Raw genomic sequence first — 19,801 nt, 5'->3', positions numbered from 1 at the left:
GCAAATATGGTAAAAGTGGGGGAAGGAGGGCTGATTAAGGGGCAGGACAAATGACCTAGCACAGAGGGGTCAAAAATTGGGGTGCACGTGTAATCCATAGGGACAGATAAACCTGGAATTAAAACAGTGGAGGGTGGAGGCTTTCAGGATCCTTTGAAACTCCCAGGTGGAACGCAGGTTGGACACACATCCTGCATGGACCTTTCCTGCCCTGCCGGGATATCCTGTGTTTGTCAAAAGGACCACACAGGGAAGCCCTGACAATTGTCCTTCCCGAAATCTGCCAGCGAGCCCCTCCCCAGCCTGAAGCAGCCACCCCCGGCAAAGGAAGAGTAACTCTGGAAACAGCGTTATCAGCATCCTCCACTGACTTCCTCACCTCCTCCCCAGCCTCATTAGCCCCAAGCTCCTCAGCATCCTCAAAGAGAAACCTGGGAGGCTGGGATGGGGTCAGCACCCAGAAGCCAGCCCCCTCTGACAGCTTCCTCTTTGGCCAAGCCCTGCCTCTGTACAGCCTCGAGTGGACAGCCAGAGGCTGCAGCTGGAGCCCAGAGCCCAAGATGGAGCCCCAGCTGGGGCCTGAGGCTGCCGCCCTCCGCCCTGGCTGGCTGGCCCTGCTGCTGTGGGTCTCAGCCCTGAGCTGTTCTTTCTCCTTGCCAGCTTCTTCCCTTTCTTCTCTGGTGCCCCAAGTCAGAACCAGCTACAATTTTGGAAGGACTTTCCTCGGTCTTGATAAATGCAATGCCTGCATCGGGACATCTATTTGCAAGAAGTTCTTTAAAGAAGAAATAAGGTCAGAATATCAATCAAATAACTCTGAATCACAAAATTCTGTTCCCTTCTTGTGAAGATGTCCAGGAATTTGTTGAAAAGGAATCAGGATGTAATATGGGTGGGAGCTGAAACAAATCCATTTAATCAGAGTGGTAATGGTCTGAAGTTGGGGTGGGTAAGAGGGCAAGATGTGAAGCCAAATTCCAGCCCTAAATGCTAAATCCAACATTTCCTTTTGAACTGAAAGCTTGAAGTTTTCTTTCCTATGAATGGAGTAGCCTGGGACTGTTGAGTTTATCAAGTTCATTTCTCACAGTGGGCGGGAAATAAAATTTATAGAAAGCCTACAATGTGACACCTATTTTAAATCATTGTGAGAGTTAATGGTGTTCCCCCATTATTGAGGTGGTAAGCTGAGACATAGCCAGATAAAGTGACTTCAGTGGGGGGAAATGGGTAACTCTGTGAGATGATGGGACCCATTTCACTATATATATGTATCTTACAACATCGTGTTGTATACTTTAAATATACACAATAAAATTTATTTTTTAAAAAAGATTAAGTAACTTGCACAAGGTCACCACCGAATAAGTAGCAGCTGTGGAATTCAAACCAGGACGGTTTGCTCCAAAGTTTCTGAGCCAGCTTTCTGTTGTGAGAGATTGCCTTGATCAGAGGAAAACTGGAGCTTAGTAAATTGCAATGCACATGGCTCTCAGCAAAGAATGGCATCACACTTGGAATTTAAGCCTATCAACACACAGTCCATGAGCCTTTACCACAGCCAAACTCTAGCAGGTACTGGGGTGACAGCAACTATAACTCTGGTCATTGCCTTCCTGGAGGTCAGGACAAGGGGGTCATGTTATAAATAATAATAATAAGGCTTTGTCTGATGCAGGGCAGTGTAAAGGACCTCCAGGAGCTCCATTAATTCCAAATGGGAACTGGGGAAGGGCTTCCCCAGGAGAAGGTATTCTGAGCAAAGCCTTTTAAAGGATGAGCTGAAAAGTAACGGGAAGTGAAGGGCTTAAGGTGGAAGTAACATCTTAAGCAAAGGTGTGGGAAGAAGTGAGAGGTGCTTAGCTAGAGCATGGGGTGTATGTGGAGGCATGACAGAGGAGGAGGTTGAAGGGATATATGGGGCAGGGGGTCTTTAATTGCCATGCCAAGGAATTGGGGCCTTAATCTTGTGGACCAGTGGTTTCCAGTCTTTTTAGTACCAAAGACCCTTTGTCATATATATGCCCTTTCTCCTCCATCTTCCTCAAAGGACCTAACTTACGCTTTTAAGATTTGGTGACCAAACAAAAGGCATTAATTAACAATGATTTTATTTGCAATCTGTATTAATCAAAGACATCTTTGCTTACTCAACCAAATTACTAAATAGAAATAATAGATAGAAATACCAATCAAAAATGTTAAACTTCTTTTGTGAGGTATTTTATGGAGTTGGTGTGGACTTTTCCTATTAAGCCTTTTTAAAGGCATATTAAGCGTTTTTAAAGGCATTTTTGAAAGACCACTGATTGAGGAATCTCTACTGCAGGCCATGCTGAGAGTGTTAGGCTGGGGAGGGGCAACATGAGACCTGTGATTTGGGAAGAGCTCGTGCAAAGTGGACAGGACGGACTGGTGGTGTTGGCAGGGGCTGTGAGACCAGTTGCCATAGTCCAGGACACAAGTCACTGGGAACAAAGTAGAACAGGAAGGATACAGGTCAGTTCAGCTATAGAGTCATCCTGTTGACCAACACTATGCGAGAGGAAATAAATATGCAGATGTTGGATGTGAACTCAAGGTTTTCCGCCTAGGAAAAGAGATAAAGAGGACCAAGAACACAGGTGAAGCAATGCTGATTCCTTGGAGAGAGGCAATAAGAAGGCAGACATATTTTTTAAAAGGAGGGAGAGAAATTTAAGGATTCAACTGAGGAAGAGCTCTAGGATGACTGCATATTCACCAAAGGGCAATAAATGAAGTTTTTCTTACTAGCATTTGGCAGATGCTAGCCAAAATCAGAAAGCATTTCCCTAAATAGGTTTGCATTCCGTTAGAGTCCAGGATATTACTTCATCTCCCTTAGAATTCATGTTCCATGTGCCCGTGAAAGGGAAGTGTGCAGATACAAGCAGGAAAACACCAGGCAGGGCAGATTGGGGTTTATAGCTCTGCACATTGAGAATGGTCATCCTCAGCACAAAGAGGCAGAGAGAGGCAGTCAGTGGGTCTGGGGAGGTGGTCCTGTTTAGAGTCCTTTTCTCTACAATATAAATACCTTTTTTCTTATTATCAAAGTCGTGCCTGTTTATTTTAGTATTTTCAGGAAAGGTTGATTAAAGAAAGCACAAAATAAAATCACATATAATTCTTCCACCAAGAGATCACCCCTTAGTCAACATTTTGTTGCATTTCCTTGCCACCCTTTTTCTAAGTGTGAATTAAGAAATTTTTTAACAAAAATGTGAACATGCTGTGTATACTTTTTGGAAACTACTATTTAACAGTATATCAGGAACATCTTTCCACATTATTAAATGATCTTCCACACACTTTGATTTTTAACAGGTTCATGGTATTCAATTGCATCAATCAACCATAATTTATTTAACTATTTAAGCATAACTTATTTAATTATTTAACTATAATTTATTAAAACCACCACTGTGAAACTAGAGTTTTTTTATTTCATTTTTTGGTATTATAAACAGTTCTATGTCAAACATCCCTGTAGCTATGTTTTGTGCACATGAGTGACGAATTCCTTATGACAAACTCCTAAAAGTGAAATTTCTGGGTCAAAAAGACAAAATTGAAGGAGATATATATATCTAAATGGAGGCTTCTACTTATAAAGCTCACTTCTTGCACACTTACAAATATTTAGTACTTTTTTTTAGTTTGAATTTCTTCTGAGTTGAACCCTTTTTCAGATTTATTGACCATTTGTATTTCTTCTTTGCTAAACTGTCTACAGGTTCACATCCTTTGCCTCTCTTTCTAATGGTGTATTTGTTCGTTGTCTTCTTTTGGATCTCCAAACATTTTCCCACTTTAAAAAAGTGATTACCAGCCAGGCGAGGTGGCTCACACCTGTAATCCCAGCACTTTGGGAGGCCGAGGCGGGCAAATCACGAGGTCAGGAGATCAAGACCATCCTGGCCAACAATGTGAAAACCCGTCTCTACTAAAAATACAAAAATTAGCCGGACATGGCGGCGCACGCCTATAGTCCCAGCTACTCGGGAAGCTGAGGCAGGAGAATTGCTTGAACCCGGGAGGCGGAGGCTGCAGTGAGTTGAGATCACACCACTGTACTCCAGCCTGGGTGAAAGAGCAAGATTCTGTCTCAAAAAAAAAAAAAGTGATTACCATGACACCTTAGGAGAAAGACTCTCTCTCAAAAAAAAAAAAAGGTGATTACTATGACATCTTAGGGGAAAGCCCATCCAAAACTCTCAGTTGTTTGGTTGAAATGCTACAGCCAGGTCCTAGTCCTCACTAAGGACTGGACAATGCTTGCATCTGTTCAGCAACAAATCGTAGATGGGTATCCCAGGCTGGCTGGATATGCTGAACACACATGATTAGCAGATGGACATCACCTCTCCTTTTTTCCTTTATCTTTCCTTTGGCAAGAATGCTAAGGATGAATCACATACTGCCCATACTCAACCATTGACCTTTAAAATTATGAATGTTTTCATTACTAATTTTCCCATGCATTCCATGTTGACTTTTAAATCCTGAATGAAAAGTTAAGGGAAGCTAGGGAAATGAGTAAGTCTGATTGCCATACTCTTCTTACTGACAATATACCTATATATGAAACCCTGAGAAGTCACATCAATTGGTAAGATTCTCCCATGATCTGGTTGGTCAGTATTGTGCGTGCAGGGTGTGGGGGTGGAGAGTAAATAGTGGCAGTACCTCTAATCACAATAATTCCTAGGAGTTCCTAGGCTCTTACCAGGGCTAATGCTTTAATCTCACCTTCCTTACTAGACACACTTGGTCTTATGTACCACCTCCACTATCAAAGTCTAAAAAAAATGTTTAAACACTTCCAACTGAGCAGTGGAGGGCTCACAGTAAAATAACTAAATCGTCAGGCCTGATTTTGCCTTCCCTTCTCCCTTGTCTCTTGTCTGTCTCCTTGCCCTCAGAAGTTGACAATAATTACTGTCTTAACTCACTTCTTCACATCAACTCAGGGGCCTTGGGAAATACAGGGCTCAAGAGCTTATGACAAAAGCATCCATCTACACGTTCAGTCAGCCTTATATGAATCCATGCACCCATCCATCCACCATCCATCCACCCATTCATTCAGGTGACCCTCCATGCATTCTTCTACCCAACCATCACACTGTGCATCCCACCATCCAGCCCTCCATGCATCTCTCTACTCCCTTATCTATCTATACATCTAAATACCCATCCATCCATCCACCTGTAAAGTGTTGAGCACTAACTTGGTACTCTGCTGAACACTGAGTTACAAAGTTAAAAGAGGTCAAATCTTTGCTCTGAAGGAGTTTACTTTCTATTAGGAAGACAAAGAAGTAAATCAGTGGTTAAAATAGAGTATAGGAAATATTTTTAAATGTCTTACACAGGGTATCATGGGAGTGTGTGGGAAGGTCCCAACTGGGGGATGAGGGAGTGAGTTCCAAAGAGGTGCTATCCATCTGGATTTTAAAGGGCTACATTGGGATTTTCCAGACAAGAAAGAGGAAGAAACTGTCTCAGACAAAGGTGTCAGCATATGACAGGTGATTGGAACCTCAGAGGCCTGAAAGAATGTGGTTTATCCAAGGATAGTCAGTGGTTTGGTGAGACCAAAGCAAACTTGTAAGAAGAGCAGCAGGCAATGCAGCAGGCAATGCAGCAGGCAATGCAGCAGGCAGAGCATTGTGAACCAAGCTCTAAGCTTAACTAAGGAGCTCTAAGCTTAACTAAGTTTAAGCTCTAAGTTAAATTAAGGAGCATGAACTGTAGCCTGAGAGCTTTGGAAAGGTACTAAATGGGTTAAAGGTTCAGTGCAGAGCTATGGGATGAAGAAGAGGGAAGGGAGGAAAAACTATTTAGAAAGGCATATCTACAGGCTTTATGTTTGACCAGATGCAAGCATGAGAAGAATGCACGAGAAGAGGGCATTTTATTCTAATTCCAAAGCTGTTGCTCTCCTCTACACCCCCACCCTATGTTGAGGGACTTGGGGGGATTGGACCACATGGCCTTGTTGCTTTTTTCCAGCTCTGAGAAACTGTAATTCTGCTTGTCCATCTTTCAACACAATCAGGAACTTGGCCAGCCTCACTTCAGTCAGGCCCATGATCTCAATTTAGAAGGAAGATGAGAATGCTGTCTCTGTTTTGTGGTTGTCCAAATTCCAGGATAGTAACATTTTAGTGAATAAAAAGCACTGACATTTTCTCACTGACATTCTTCTATTTAATAAAGTAGGTAGTCAACACTGTAAGAGTATACATTTTTCCCATTCAATGCAATAAATTTATTACCATTTTGAATAAGGGGAGAAGTGCATCCTGCAATCTTGTTTGTCTCAATTAGTCCTTATGGAATGCCTCAAGCCATCACTGAACCTGCCCAGGCACTCATTACAAGTCATCTGCCAAGGCAGTGCTGTCGTCTCAGCGGAGCCTCCTTAGGAGGTGGGGACAGAAAAAAAGGACAATGAACTTGTCTCACAGGGCAAGAAATCTCTTCCCACACCACCCCCACCAACTGGGAGAACAGGAGCCCTGAGACCTGCCCTCCTCTACCACTAATTGTCTGTGAGTCTTCAGAAAGGTCACATATATATTCTGCTTTCAATTTTATCTTTTCAATTTTCTCATCCTTTTCAATTCTCTTTTCAATTTTCTCATCCTCAAAACAAGATGGGGAAGGGACAAAATAATCTTCAAGGATCCTGCCACCTATAACCCCTAATAATGTTACCAATCTGTTTCTATGAGCTAATTCATAAAATGGGTGATAAAGGAATAAGCAACCACAAAGTGGTGAAGGAAACAAAATGAAGATTAATGGGACCAAGTGCGGTGGCTCACTCCTGTAATCCCAGCACTTTGGGAGGCTGAGGCGGGTGGATCACTTGAAGACAGGAGTTTGAGTCCAGCCTGGCCAACATGGTGAAACCCCGTCTCTACTAAAAATACAAAAATTAGCCATCCATGGTGGCGTGTGCCTGTAATCCCAGCTACTCAGGAGGCTGAGGCAGAAGAATCGCTTAAACCCAGGAGGTGGAGGTTGCAGTGAACCAAGACTGCGCCACTGCACTCTAGTCTGGGTGACAGAGCAAGACTCTCTCTCAAAAAAAAAAAATTAATGGGTTCCTTGGGGTTGGGTATGGAGGTCCAGTGGTGTCCCCACTGCAAGCCCTGGAGCCTTGAATGCCACTTCCTCCAATTCTTGGTCATGTGACCTTGGGCAAATGACATAATCACTCTGTGCCTCAGTTTCCTCATCTGTATGTTAACAATAGTATCAGCCTCATAGGTTTATTGAAACAATTAAATGAATCTGTACATATAAAGTGTTTAGTAAAGTGACTGGCACACTTAAGTGTTTCACAAATGCGTGTTACTCTTATCGTTATCTAAAAGAGCCACCTAGTGATAACTTTCCAGCTCCAGTCCCTTTAGTGGCCGGGGAGTGGGGGTGGGGAGTAGGGGTGGGTTTGAAACTCCATGAGCAGGAGCAGCTGCAGGATACAGGCAGACAGGCCAGTCTCTGGGTCCTGGGCCCTTCCTTATCCACCTAGAGGGGAGGATCTTTTCCCATAGTTGTCCTGAAACTTCCAGTAAAATGGACTCATTACAATGTTACACTGTTTCATCTTTTTAAATACATTGATGCCAGTGTTCTTGTACAGAATCCTTTGTGCCTACTTCCATTGCAATTTGCATTGTCCTGCATTGCAGAAGTTGCTCTCTGACAGTTTCCACTGGCGCACCTTCCCAGATGTGAGAGGCTGGAGCTCTAGTGCATAACTCAAGGATTCAGAGGCCTGGGCTGTCCAGTTTCCTGGACAGGTCCCTTGACCTCTTTGCCCTTGTAATTTTTTTGTGTGACTTTCTTTGCCATCAAAACAGTAGGAAAAGCTTGCAGTCTCTTAGGGTAAAGTTGTGTCAGGTAAGAGAAAAAAACAACACAGTCTAGGGTTTGGGTCTAATCAAAATGCTAATTCTTCCAAAACGCATTATCCAAAACTCATTATCATGGGGTGGCCCAATAATGCCCAATAATAAGAATTTAAATATTCTTATTTAAATTAAATATATAACATGTCACATGCTGCCTGATTTTCATTTGCAGTATGACCTTCAATTGTTAATAATAATGAAGGTAAACTTTTTCTGAGTAGTTTTTCATACACAAATCAAAAAGAGATTTAACATTCTTCCCTAACGGAAATATCAGCACACAGCTGGATAAATGACTATGGAGAAAACATAACTGTGGGGCCTAGGAAATTGGCAGGTGATAATAGGCCAATGCCTGCCAGGCACAGTGGCTCACGCCTGTAATCCCAACACTTTGGGAGGTAGAGGCGGGCGGATCACCTGAGGCCAGCAGTTCAAGACCAGCCTGGCCAACATGGTAAAACGTTGTCTCTACTAAAAATACAAAAATTAGCTGGGCGTGGTGGCGCACTCCTCTAATCCCAGCTACTGGGGAGGCTGAGGCAGGAGAATCGCTTGAATCCAGGAGACAGAGATTCCAGTGAGCTGAGATTGAGCCATAGCACTCCAGCCTGGGCAACAGAGTGAGTCTCCATCTCAAAAATAAATAAATAAATAAGCCAATGCCTCTCCCCCAGGAGGATTAAGGACTGGCCAGGCCATCATGTAGAATCACACACCTCCTGGAGCCCAGGTAGCTTCCAAGTTGATGACCATTTAGTAGTCACTCTTGCCTGAGACTTTGTTGGTGCTGAAGACTTAAATTTTTAGACTAATGGGGCTGCTTGGGGTTGGGTATGGAGGTAGAGTGGTCTCCCTAGTGCAGGCCCAAGAGCCTCTTCAAGAACCTCTGTGGTTCCAAGACCCAGCCATTGGTCAGAGGGTAAGCAGTTTGGGGAATCAGTGTAGGGAAAGGGAGAGATACTGGGGTTTGCTGACTGACAGCCCGGGGTCCGCACCTCTGATTGGCAACATATTGTCTGACCTTGGCCAAGGTACTTAAGCTCTATAAGCCTGAGTTTCCACCCTTGTAAAGTGGAAATTGGGGATTAGGGGAATCAAAAATGTCAGTGTATGTAAAGCTGCTATCTTTACAGGGAGTAAAAGTTCAGAGAGCTATGGCTAGTCTTTCTGTGCCAGTTGTATGAAGAGGATAATGTTTGTGCGTGACTCACACCTCCCTCACCTTTTCTGATATGACATATACACTACCGTAAGTTTGAAGAAGCAAAAATAGTCCTCTCACAGAAAGAATTTCGAACACCTCAGTCTAAGTAGGAGAAATGGATCAGTTGGGCTATTGTCCCCTGTCTTCCTGTCCCTGGGCTCTGTGAGCCTCCAGCTCACAGGCCAATCCTCAAAGGGCTATTCTTCCAACAGATCTGACAACTGGCTGGCTTCCCACCTTGGACTGCCTCCCGATTCCTTGCTTTCTTATCCTGCAAATTACTCAGATGATTCCAAAATCTGGCGCCCTGTGGAGATCTTTAGACTGGTCAGCAAATATCAAAACGAGATCTCAGACAGGAGAATCTGTGCCTCTGCATCAGCCCCAAAGACCTGCAGCATTGAGCGTGTCCTGCGGAAAACAGAGAGGTTCCAGAAATGGCTGCAGGCCAAGCGCCTCACGCCGGACCTGGTGCAGGTGAGTGTGAAGGCCATGGGAAGGGGGTGTGAAGGGGATGATGAGAAAGAGAGAGAGAGATTCATTCCCATCTCATATCTCAGTTTGAGAAAAAGGAGAAGCTGTGGTCTGTCTGAAGTGTGACAAAACACTGTCATAAAACAGTGGCTTACGGTAAGACAGGAACTAAACAAGGTTTACTTATAAGGTTCCATCCCACTGTCATTTCTCATTCTCTCTGATGTGATCCTCAGTGACGATTCGAGAAAGTTCCTAGCTGCGACCTCTGGCCTGAAGATCTGACAGGATGACCCTTGCCAGTCCACCCCTCTGCCAGGGCTCAACTCACCTGCATCATTCTCTGACAGCTCTTTGCCAGCCGCCAGGCTAGCTGAGTATTCTCTCTTAGAAGCTCCCATATATATCCTGTTTCAAAATACAGAGAGACAACTTTGAAAGCCAAGTTCCTCTTCTATCTCCCACTGTAAAGAATAACCAAACCTCAGCCATTACAGAAGCCAACTTTGACAATACAGCATCCTCTTCCCACCTGACAGCCTCCCACCCACTCCCATGGGCATGCTGTGCTGGGAACTTCAGCACCTTGCTGGTGCCATCATCATATTCTGCATTGGTTCCCTCCTGTACTATCATCTCAAGTACAATCCTTCTTCATTCCAACCAGCACAGCCATGGCCCTCCACACATATCTAGCTGAGCCCCTTTGCGCAGAAGATGCCACCTCAGAGGACTGAGGCGTGAGCCACCACGCCCGGCCAGGAAGGAATTTTCTGGTGTGCAAGATACACTTGAGATTCTACCTAAGGTAGCTAGATTGGCATTGGGCTTTGAACTAAGGAAAATGTCCTCTTTCTCTCACCTTCTAGATACTTCCGTAATAACAGTACAGTAGAGATTATCCCAGGGGGCCTAACAAGTCCAAAGCAACCTGCCAGGTACATCTTTTGCAGTCTGCACTCTATGAGTACATCTTGTGTCACCTACTTTGATGAATGTAGACACTAGGGTATAGGGAAAAGATTCCTGGAGCCTGGAAATTATGGTTGAGTTTTGTATCTGCCACTAAAAGCTATGGCAAAGTGAGAAGAAGGAGCAGAGACACAGTAATAACACAGAGCTTCCATTCCTGTTCATCCATACAAGTTTCATCAACTGTGCTGCAACATCCTGGGTATTCGAAGATGAATCAGACACAAGCTCTGGCCCCAGAAGCGTGTGGCTCAGTGGTAGAGACAGACAAGAGCACAAATCACCACCCGGCATTATAGTTGATATGCTGACACTCTGTACTGAGACAAAGGACACACTACTGACTTGTGTCCTTCACTCCCTGACCAATTGACCTTGGATTTAAGCCCAAAATTTCCCCAATCTGCTCTGACATTCCTTCTCCAAAACTGAGGTGGGAAGAGGGCTTCTGGATGATCTCAAAGACCCTCCAAGCTCTGATATTCTTTAACTTGATATGACTCTGCTTCATTTATTTAGCAAATACTGACTGAATACCTACTACTCATCAGGAGCGGTGCTGGGTGCCTTCATTTTCTTATTTCTCAAATGACAGAAAATAATACCTGCTCTATCTGATTCATTTATCCTAATGAGCTTATAGACAAGAATATGCTTTAGAAGTCCATCACTATAGAAATGCACAGCAGTATTCTCATAATAAGTGAATCCCTTTCTTTAATTTGTTATGCTAAAATTTTCTCTAGCAATTTTGTCATCTTGCATTACATGCAGCTAAACAAGCTTTTCTTCTTTCTGCCAAAACAGCATCTATTAACAACATGCTGGTAAGACACAGCCAAAACCAGAAAAATTTTTACTTTACTTTGGCCCTCCCCTAACCCACCTTTTCATCTCCACCATAGATTTTTCCCTTCCTTATAAAAAAGGAAATATTAGCAGCCATTTTGTAAATTCTGCACCAACCCATTCTCCTAGCCATTAAGCTCAAGGTCATTACTATCTTATTTTGGCACCATCTTCTCTATCTCTCCTCACCTCCTTTCCAGAGACCCTTTGCCCTTAGGATTCCACAGCGGGCCCAGGGTGTTCTGCCACACTCTTTCTCACTTTCATGCCTCATCCAGGCTGCACCCAAGCACCTGCTTTGTTTGTTTGTTTGTTTGTTGAGACAGAGTTTCACTCTTGTCACCCCGGCTGGAGTGCAGTGGCGCCATCTCGGCTCAGTGCAACCTCTGCCTCCCAGGTTCAAGTGACTCTTCTGTCTCAGCCTCCTGAGTAGCTGGGATTACAGGTGCCGCCACCACACCCGGGTAATTTTTGTATTTTTAGTAGAGACAGAGTTTCACCATATTGGCCAGGCTGGTCTCAAACTCCTGACCTCAGGTGATCCGCCCACCTCGGCCTCCCAAAGTGCTGGGATTACAGGCATGAGCCACCATGCCCAGCCACACCTGCTCTTTTCTTTGTAGCAAAACTCACCTATCAGTTTCAAATGGATCTGTCTTCACCAAAGGTGGCCAAAAAATACCCTCGCCTATTCACCCAAGAGAATTGAAAACAAGTGTTCAAACAAAAACTTCTATGTGGGATGGACATAGTGGCTCACGCCCATAATCCAAGCACTTTGGGAGGCTGAGGCAGGAGGATTGCTTGAGGCCAGGGGTTCAAGATGAGCCTGGGGACCATGGTGAGACAAAATCTATTTTTTTAAAAAAACTTGTATATGAATGCTCATAGCAGCACTATTCATAATAGCCAAAAGGTAGAAACAACCCAAATGTTGTTCGTCAACCAATGAATGGATAAACAAAATATATTCTATCCATACAGTGGAATATTATTCAGCCATAAAAAGGAATTAAGTGCTGATACATACTACAACATAGGTAAACCTTGAAAACATTGTGCTCAGTGAAAAAAAAAGCCAAACACAAAAAGACACATATGATTCAATTTATAGGCAATGTCCAGAATAGGCAAATCCATAGAGACAGAGAGGAAATCAGTGGTTGCCAAGGGCTGAGGGGAGGGGAGAATTGGGAGTGACTGTTTAATGGGTACAGGATTTCTTTCTGGAGTGATGAAATGATTCTGGAATTAGATAGTGGTGATGGTTGCACAGTCTTCTGAATGTATGAAAAGCCACTGAATTGTATAATTTAAAATGGTTTAAATGGTTAATTTTATGTTATATGAATTTTACTTCAATTTTAAAAAGAATAAGCCATAGAAACAACTTCCCCTATTCTGTGACCCATTCACTTAGAGCCTTGTGATGGGCAGCTAATGTCATAATTTAATTTGTGCCGGGAAGTTAACAGCTAATGGCATTTCACTGTTAGCCCTCTAAGAAGCCATTTGCATGTAAAGCCAATATTGCGATGCTTTCACTAGTTCATGCATGACTATCTCAGCTCTTCCTAATATATTCTTGCATTCTTCCCCTACTAAACCCAGATGTGGCCCCAGAATTCTTCTCAATAGTGTTCTAAGTTAGCAGCCTCTGTCTTTGATCTCAGCTGGAATAAGAGATGAAACCTCTGAGTGATCATTCATCCCAGATTTGGCCAAACAGCTCCACCCCGTTTTTCTGATAACCCATCAGACATGAGTCCTAATTTCTTGTTTGGAAATCATGATCTTTCTGTATTTATATGGGAGTTTCAAGAGCCAACTGGGGAGCTATTATAGGATGCGTGGTTGGGAGATTTGCCTCATTCTTCAACTCACACCAAATGGCCCAGTGTCGGCTCAGCCTACCTGTCAGGCCAGTATCCTGGGATTCTCTCTGTGTGTGACTGAAGTGGCTTTTCTCTGATTTCCTCAAGAGCCGTTTTCCAACTGGGATCTAAGCCAGAGCCTTCAATTGTGCATATCTGCTTGTGTGTGTTGCTGTGTGTTTAGGGGAAGAAAAAGATGCCACAAGGAGCTCACGGGCTCTTTTCAGAGAACTGACAAGGCAGAGATGAGAGGAGAAAAAAAATCAAAGAAATAAAAGTAAACGAAAGGGAGGAGGGATCTGGCCGGTTCAGGGGCCTCAGAACTTTGACTGTCAGCCCTGCTTATGAATAAATAAAGTCAAGTTGGATGAAAAGCCCCAGCAGTCATCATCAGAGGCTGAGCCAGGGAGTCCCGGGCTCCCCTCCTGCAGGGCCAAATGCAGCTTTGTATTTAAGGACACTGCATCTTGAGCCACAGTGCAGTACAGCTACGGCAGGGCTGCTAAGGAAGACGACAGGACCAAGAATTAGGAAGAAAGTGAAACGATGCAGTGTGTGTGTGTGTGTGTGTGTGTGTGTGTGTGTGTGTGCGCGCGCGCGCCCTCGAGCATGTGTAGCACTTATGCTAATAACATCGTGACTTTTCTCCTCTAAAAGCTGCATTGTTCTGATGGGAATATCCCACAGCCTAAATTACTAGCCCACAAACAGAAACACAGCCAAGAACACTGCTCAGAGTTTATGATAAGGTGCTTGTTCACAAAACCACAAAGAAGGCTTCCTCTGCTTTTATGCCAAGGGCAAAGAGGCAACCACCCTAGGCAGCTGGAGGCTAATCAGGGGAAAACACATATCCTCCACTGTGTCCCGCTCCCATCCCCTCAACTACGATCCGATCTGACATTGTTCTAAGCAGTGTGTTCCTCCAAACGGGAATACACTAGATGGCCGCAGAGCCTTTCCCCCCACTAGATGGCAGTACAGAGTGTTCAGTCAGCTTTGTTTAAACGAGGATGATTGGCTATTTTACTTCCTATGTTTCCATTATTTTTTAAAATGCATAGAATAAGGGAAATCAGCAAATTAACCAAAATGCATGTTCATTATATAATCTAAATGTGGGTTCCGATGAACTAGTAAACAAGTGAAATTCACTTTTGTTTAAATGTAACTCAAAAATATGTAAGGGATGGTTATAGGACCTGTGCTAGGCGCTAGGAGGGCATAAGGGTATCAAGACAAGGTCTTTGCACTCTGGGAGATGACACCCCAGTGAGGGAGATAGACCATATTCGATTCGTTCTGATACAAGACACCCTGTGATAAAGTGTTTTAATGAAAATGAAAATTTTATGTTGGATTCACAGCTGGTTTTCAGACTGTAAATATTTTAATGCCTCACAGGCTACTAGGTCAAGGATGCTTCAAAAAATTTCCATTTGCTTGTTTGTTTGTTTGTTTTAACAAAGAACATGACTATATTGGTGCTGAAAAAGAAAAAATAGGCTGACTGGTGGCTGTATTATTTTCACACACATCTAACATTGGAGTCAAAGATGAAATGACTATTAGTGGAAAAGGAAATTTAAGCAGCTAAGAATGCCTCCACAGTATCACACAAGGCAATATTCCCTGGATATCAGCGCACATCCTCTGGCTGAATGGTCTTGGAGGAACAGAGCCCCTTCAGAGGTACATCAACACTGAAATCATGAGACCCCGTTCCTGTGACCCTTGGGAGGTATTCAGAGTGCTGTGTTTGTTGCCCGTGGGAGTTTGGGGAACCAACTGGACAGACATTATGGAATAGATAAGTCCCCTCTCAGCCCATTTTCTCCTTCCAGTCATGGAATTGGAAATGTTCAGAGTTGAAACAACTAAGATTTTGAATCATCTAATTTATTTAAGATTACAACCATGAAAACTTTGCTATCTCAACATTTGTGGCAAAGAGGTTACTTGGAATGGGTCAGAGACTAACCTGCTCATTTCCAAATTCCATTGTGTCACAGTCTCATAGAAAAGGGACTAATAATCACCCACTGTGCCCACTCAAATTACCCCTAAATTATTCTTGATGGAGCTCACGAATGAAAATGAGACAGTCGGCCGGGCGCGGTGGCTCACGCCTGTAATCCCAGCACTTTGGGAGGCCGAGGCGGGCGGATCACGAGGTCAGGAGATCGAGACCATCCTGGCTAACATGGTGAAACTCTGTCTCTACTAAAAATACAAAAAATTAGCCAGGCGTGGTGGCAGGCACCTGTAGTCTCAGCTACTCGGGAGGCTGAGGCAGGAGAATGGTGTGAACCCAGGAGGCGGAGGTTGCAGTGAGCCGAGACTGCGCCACTGCACTCCAGCCTGGGCAACAGAGCGAGACTCCATCTCAAAAAAAAAAAAAAAAAGAAAAGAAAAGAAAGAAAATGAGACAGTGAAAGGCTTCCCCAGTCCTGACACAGACAAGTTGAGAAAGAAAAAGGAGGCAAGAGAAGACTAGGGGAAAGATAGACATGAGACAAGTCACCAGTGGCTCCTTCCAGATGATGCTCAAATACAGAATACAGGCCGCCCCCAGCCAAAACGTAACCGAAGCCTGAATAATCATCAGAACAAACAATACAAAGCAAGCTTTGCTTTTACAGGGCTTTAAGCTTTCCCTAAACTTAGATGTTACCAATCAAGCCCCTTTTTTAAAAAATCAAGGCATCCTTTGTTCTATACAATTCTTCCTTTGATATCTCATTACCTCTATCCTGATGTACTCAGAAAAAAATGCTTTTGCCGTTAAGTGTGACTTGGCCCAGAGGCCTCTGGATTGGCTGTCCCTCTATGCATGTCCACATGCTATGAAGGAATCAAAGGTTAAACTATATAATATATAGTATTTATCTATAAAGAAAGTCACTTGGAAGACATCAGTTAATATAGTGATTGTGTTCTAACACAATATTTGTGGCCTAATAAGCAGAACTTAACCACTATATCAATTGATTGTGCTACCGTGATTGTGTTCTGTGTATTAAGCCACAAAACCCCTCAATACATTTTTTAAAGTAGAAATATTAAAGATCATTTTATCTAATCAAAAGAGAATCACATCAGACATTAACTATAATAGGAAAAAAAAATACCAAAGCAGAAATGTAAAAACATTATCTTTTGAGCCACAGAGCAAATAATTGAAATTGTAATAATATCAGGATAATAACAATGATGAAAACTCTATATTTCCCCAAACTATGATTTAGCCTTTGCCAAATCACTGCTCAGAGGAAAATTGAAAATCAATCCAGGGTTCTGTTAGGCTGCTGTTGACACAAGTTCGGTCATTAATGTGGAGAAATAATACAAAAAGATATTAAAAACGCATATTAATTTGTTCCTAACTCAAGGCCACTTATGGCAGTAATAATTTTTACAATTGTGTTAGCGCTTCTCTCTTAGGATTATCAAGAGGTCTGTGGAAGGCATAATTTATAAACCTTTTGTGTGGGTTAAGCAGGGAATAAATATATTTATTCCTGGTTTATATATGAGAGCAAACCACAGAGCAATATATCAATTTGTTAAAGATCAAAATCTATTTCTACTTACTGAATTACACATATGTCATAGATTCTTGGGGTTGAAATAAATTTGAAAGCTCAGCAATTTGAACTCTAACATATTTGCATCCTTTCTGTAAGGCAAAGGGTCATCTACCGTATCATACAGTGACAGGAAACTCACTACCTTCAGCTTATGCCTTCTTTGGACAGAACAGATACTTGGAAAGTTCATCCCAAATCTGTCTTCTTGTAGCTCTCACTTATGTAAAGTATTTCTACGCCCTGGAATCATACAGATTATACATGACATATGCCCTCCCATACACGCAGCTCCTAAATCCTGGCTTCCCCATTGTAAACATCCCCAGTTCTCTTTTTCATCTCGGCATTCCTCTCATATTGAAGCTTCTTAAATGTTATGTCAACTGAAACCCCTTCTGTAGCTAGATTTTAGTTCACAAGGACAGAACCTTTTGTTTATCCTGTTATATATGATCTTCTTATATTAAATCCATTATTCTAGCCTGTCAACTTGTTTCTGATACTTATCATACCCCGTATCACCCCAAGTACATATTATTCTCAGTTTTGATGAACACAATTTTTATCTATGTCTTAGTCCTCTATAAAAATGTTAACCAGAACAGGGCCAAATAAAAAGCTTTCTTTCTCTATAGGGGTTAATCCGTTAGTTGTTAGGTAAACTCAGTTAACCAATTACTAATCATCTTAATTTTTCTATGCAGCCCAAATCTTGTTTCCCCTTTTGTTTTATAGGGGTCTCATGAGAATCACTGTTGAATGCTTCACTAAAGTTCATATATTCTGTCTATTGAATTTCTCTGATTAAAAATCAAACTACCAGGTCAAAGAAAAAAAAGTTGTTAGTCTGGAATGATTTGATTAAAAGAATCCTCAGTGACTCCTTAAGATCATCATTTCCCCATCTGGAGGCTCACAAATTATCCTATGAATAACCTGTTTTAGAATATTTCCTGTGATCCAGGATCAGCCCACTAATCACTAATTTGTGAAATCTACCCTCTTGCTCTTTTTAAATATCAGAAATGGATTTTCATGCCTTTTCTGTTCTCTGCATTCACTGCCCATGGTTCAGCAATATCATTTGCCAGGTCTCTGTGAATCTCTCAGGCTGGGGAACTCACTCAGAACAATGAAGGCTTCCTTTATTCATTCTGGCTTTTCATTCCTGTTTACCACATTTTGCTTCACCTTTTTCCCATCAAAGTCCCAACACCTGAAAGAGAAAACAAGCAAACATTAGAAATGAAAATCGGGCCTTCATTTTGTTATCCACCAAAATTCTAATGGCCCTATTGTCTTTGCTTTCTTCATACTCTGTGCTTTGTAACATATAGCTATTTTTAAAGATTTTCAATTAAAGTATAAACTGCATACATAAACACATATATCTTAAGTGCATAGCTGGATAAATTTTCACTCGTGTATTTACTCGTGGCCACCATCCATATCAAGATACTGAACATTTCTGGCCCCTCAAAAGGCTCCTTCATGTGCCTTCCCAAAAAAGACCACATTCTAGGGTGACCAACCATCCCAGTTTGCTTAGGACTCTCCCAGCTTTCACACTGAAACCTCTCAGCTGCAGGACAACCTGAACAGTTGGTTACCCTGACCCTTCCCAAAGGTAGCTGCTATTCTGACTTAACTCACCATGGATTAGTTTTACCTGTTTTTGAACTTCATTTAAATGGAATCGTACAATATGTACACAACACATCATGCTATTTATCCATGTTGTTGCGTGAATCCGTGGTTGGTGTTCTTTTTCACTGCAGTGTGTGAAACAACACCGCTCTGTGATGGTTTCACACTGTATGCATTCTGCTGTTGATGAACATTTGGGCTGTATTTAGTTTGCACTATTGTGAATTAAAGTTGCTACAGACATTATTGTACATATCTATTGGTGAACATAAGCACACAAAAGTGGAATTGTTGAGTCATAGCATGTACATATGGAAAGATTTAGTTGATTCTGCTAAGTAGTTTTCCAAAGTAGTTGTGCTGATTTCCTCCTATTAGCAATGGGAGAAAGAGTTCCATTGTTTCATATCTTCATCAACACTTACTATTGTTAGTTTTTAATTTTAGTCATTTTGGTGGGAGTTTGGCAGTATATCATTGTATGGTTTGAATTTGCATTTTTCTAATAACTAATGATATAGAATTCTTTTTCATATATTTACTGGCTTTTTTGATCTCATCTTTGGTAAAGTACTGGGTTTAGTTTGTCCATTTTTACTGGATTGTCTTTCTTATTAATTAGTACAAGTTATACAAGTTATATTTATATTCTGGATACAAGCTCTTTGTGAGCTGTGTATTACAAATATCTTCATCCAGGCTGGGGCTTGCCTTTTCACCCTCTTAATGGTATTTTTTTTTTTTTTTGAGACAGGGTGTCTCTGTCACCAAGCTGGAGTGCAGTGGCATGATCATAGCTCACTATAACCTCAGACTCCTGGGGTCAAGCAGTCCTCCTGCCTTCAGCCTCCCAAGTAGCTGGGACTACAGGTGTACACCGTGCTCAGCTACTTTTATTTTTTTGTAGAGACAGGGTCTCACTGTATTGTCCAGGCTGCCATAATTGTTTCTTTTGATGAATTGGAATTCTTTATTTTAATGAAGCCCAGTTTTTAAATATTTTATTTTATGGTTAGCACTTTTAATGTTCTGTTTATCGTGTGGTCAAGAAGATATTCTCTCGTTTACTTCTAGAAGCTTTAATATTTTATCTCTCATATAGAGATCTATAATACATCCCAAATTATTTTTTATGAGTGATGTACAGTAGGTGTTAAGGGTTTTTTCCCCATATGAATATCCAATTGACCAAGCATATTTTAGAAAAACCATTCTTTCCTCACTGAATTTCAGTAG

At 42.2% G+C, this 19,801-nt stretch overlaps 1 protein-coding gene across 4 annotated transcripts in view; it reads left to right on the top strand.

Annotated features, from left to right (window-relative positions):
- The window catches only part of DIPK2B (divergent protein kinase domain 2B), a 52,504-nt gene continuing 33,213 nt past the window's right edge, over window positions 511–19,801 (top strand). For all 4 annotated transcript variants that reach the window (XM_006724559.1, XM_005272670.1, NM_176819.4 and 1 more), the window contains exons 1-2: window positions 511–793; window positions 9,372–9,636. In XM_006724559.1, coding sequence (XP_006724622.1) covers window positions 561–793; window positions 9,372–9,636 — 498 coding nt within the window. In that variant the 5' untranslated portion in view covers window positions 511–560. The remainder of the gene's footprint in view (window positions 794–9,371; window positions 9,637–19,801) is intronic.

This window comes from Homo sapiens, chromosome X (genome assembly GCF_000001405.40).
Source record: "Homo sapiens chromosome X, GRCh38.p14 Primary Assembly".
Classification (NCBI taxonomy): domain Eukaryota; kingdom Metazoa; phylum Chordata; class Mammalia; order Primates; family Hominidae; genus Homo; species Homo sapiens.
The sequence above is the reverse complement of the archived record's forward strand: the minus strand, read 5'-3'. Positions and strand labels throughout refer to the sequence as shown.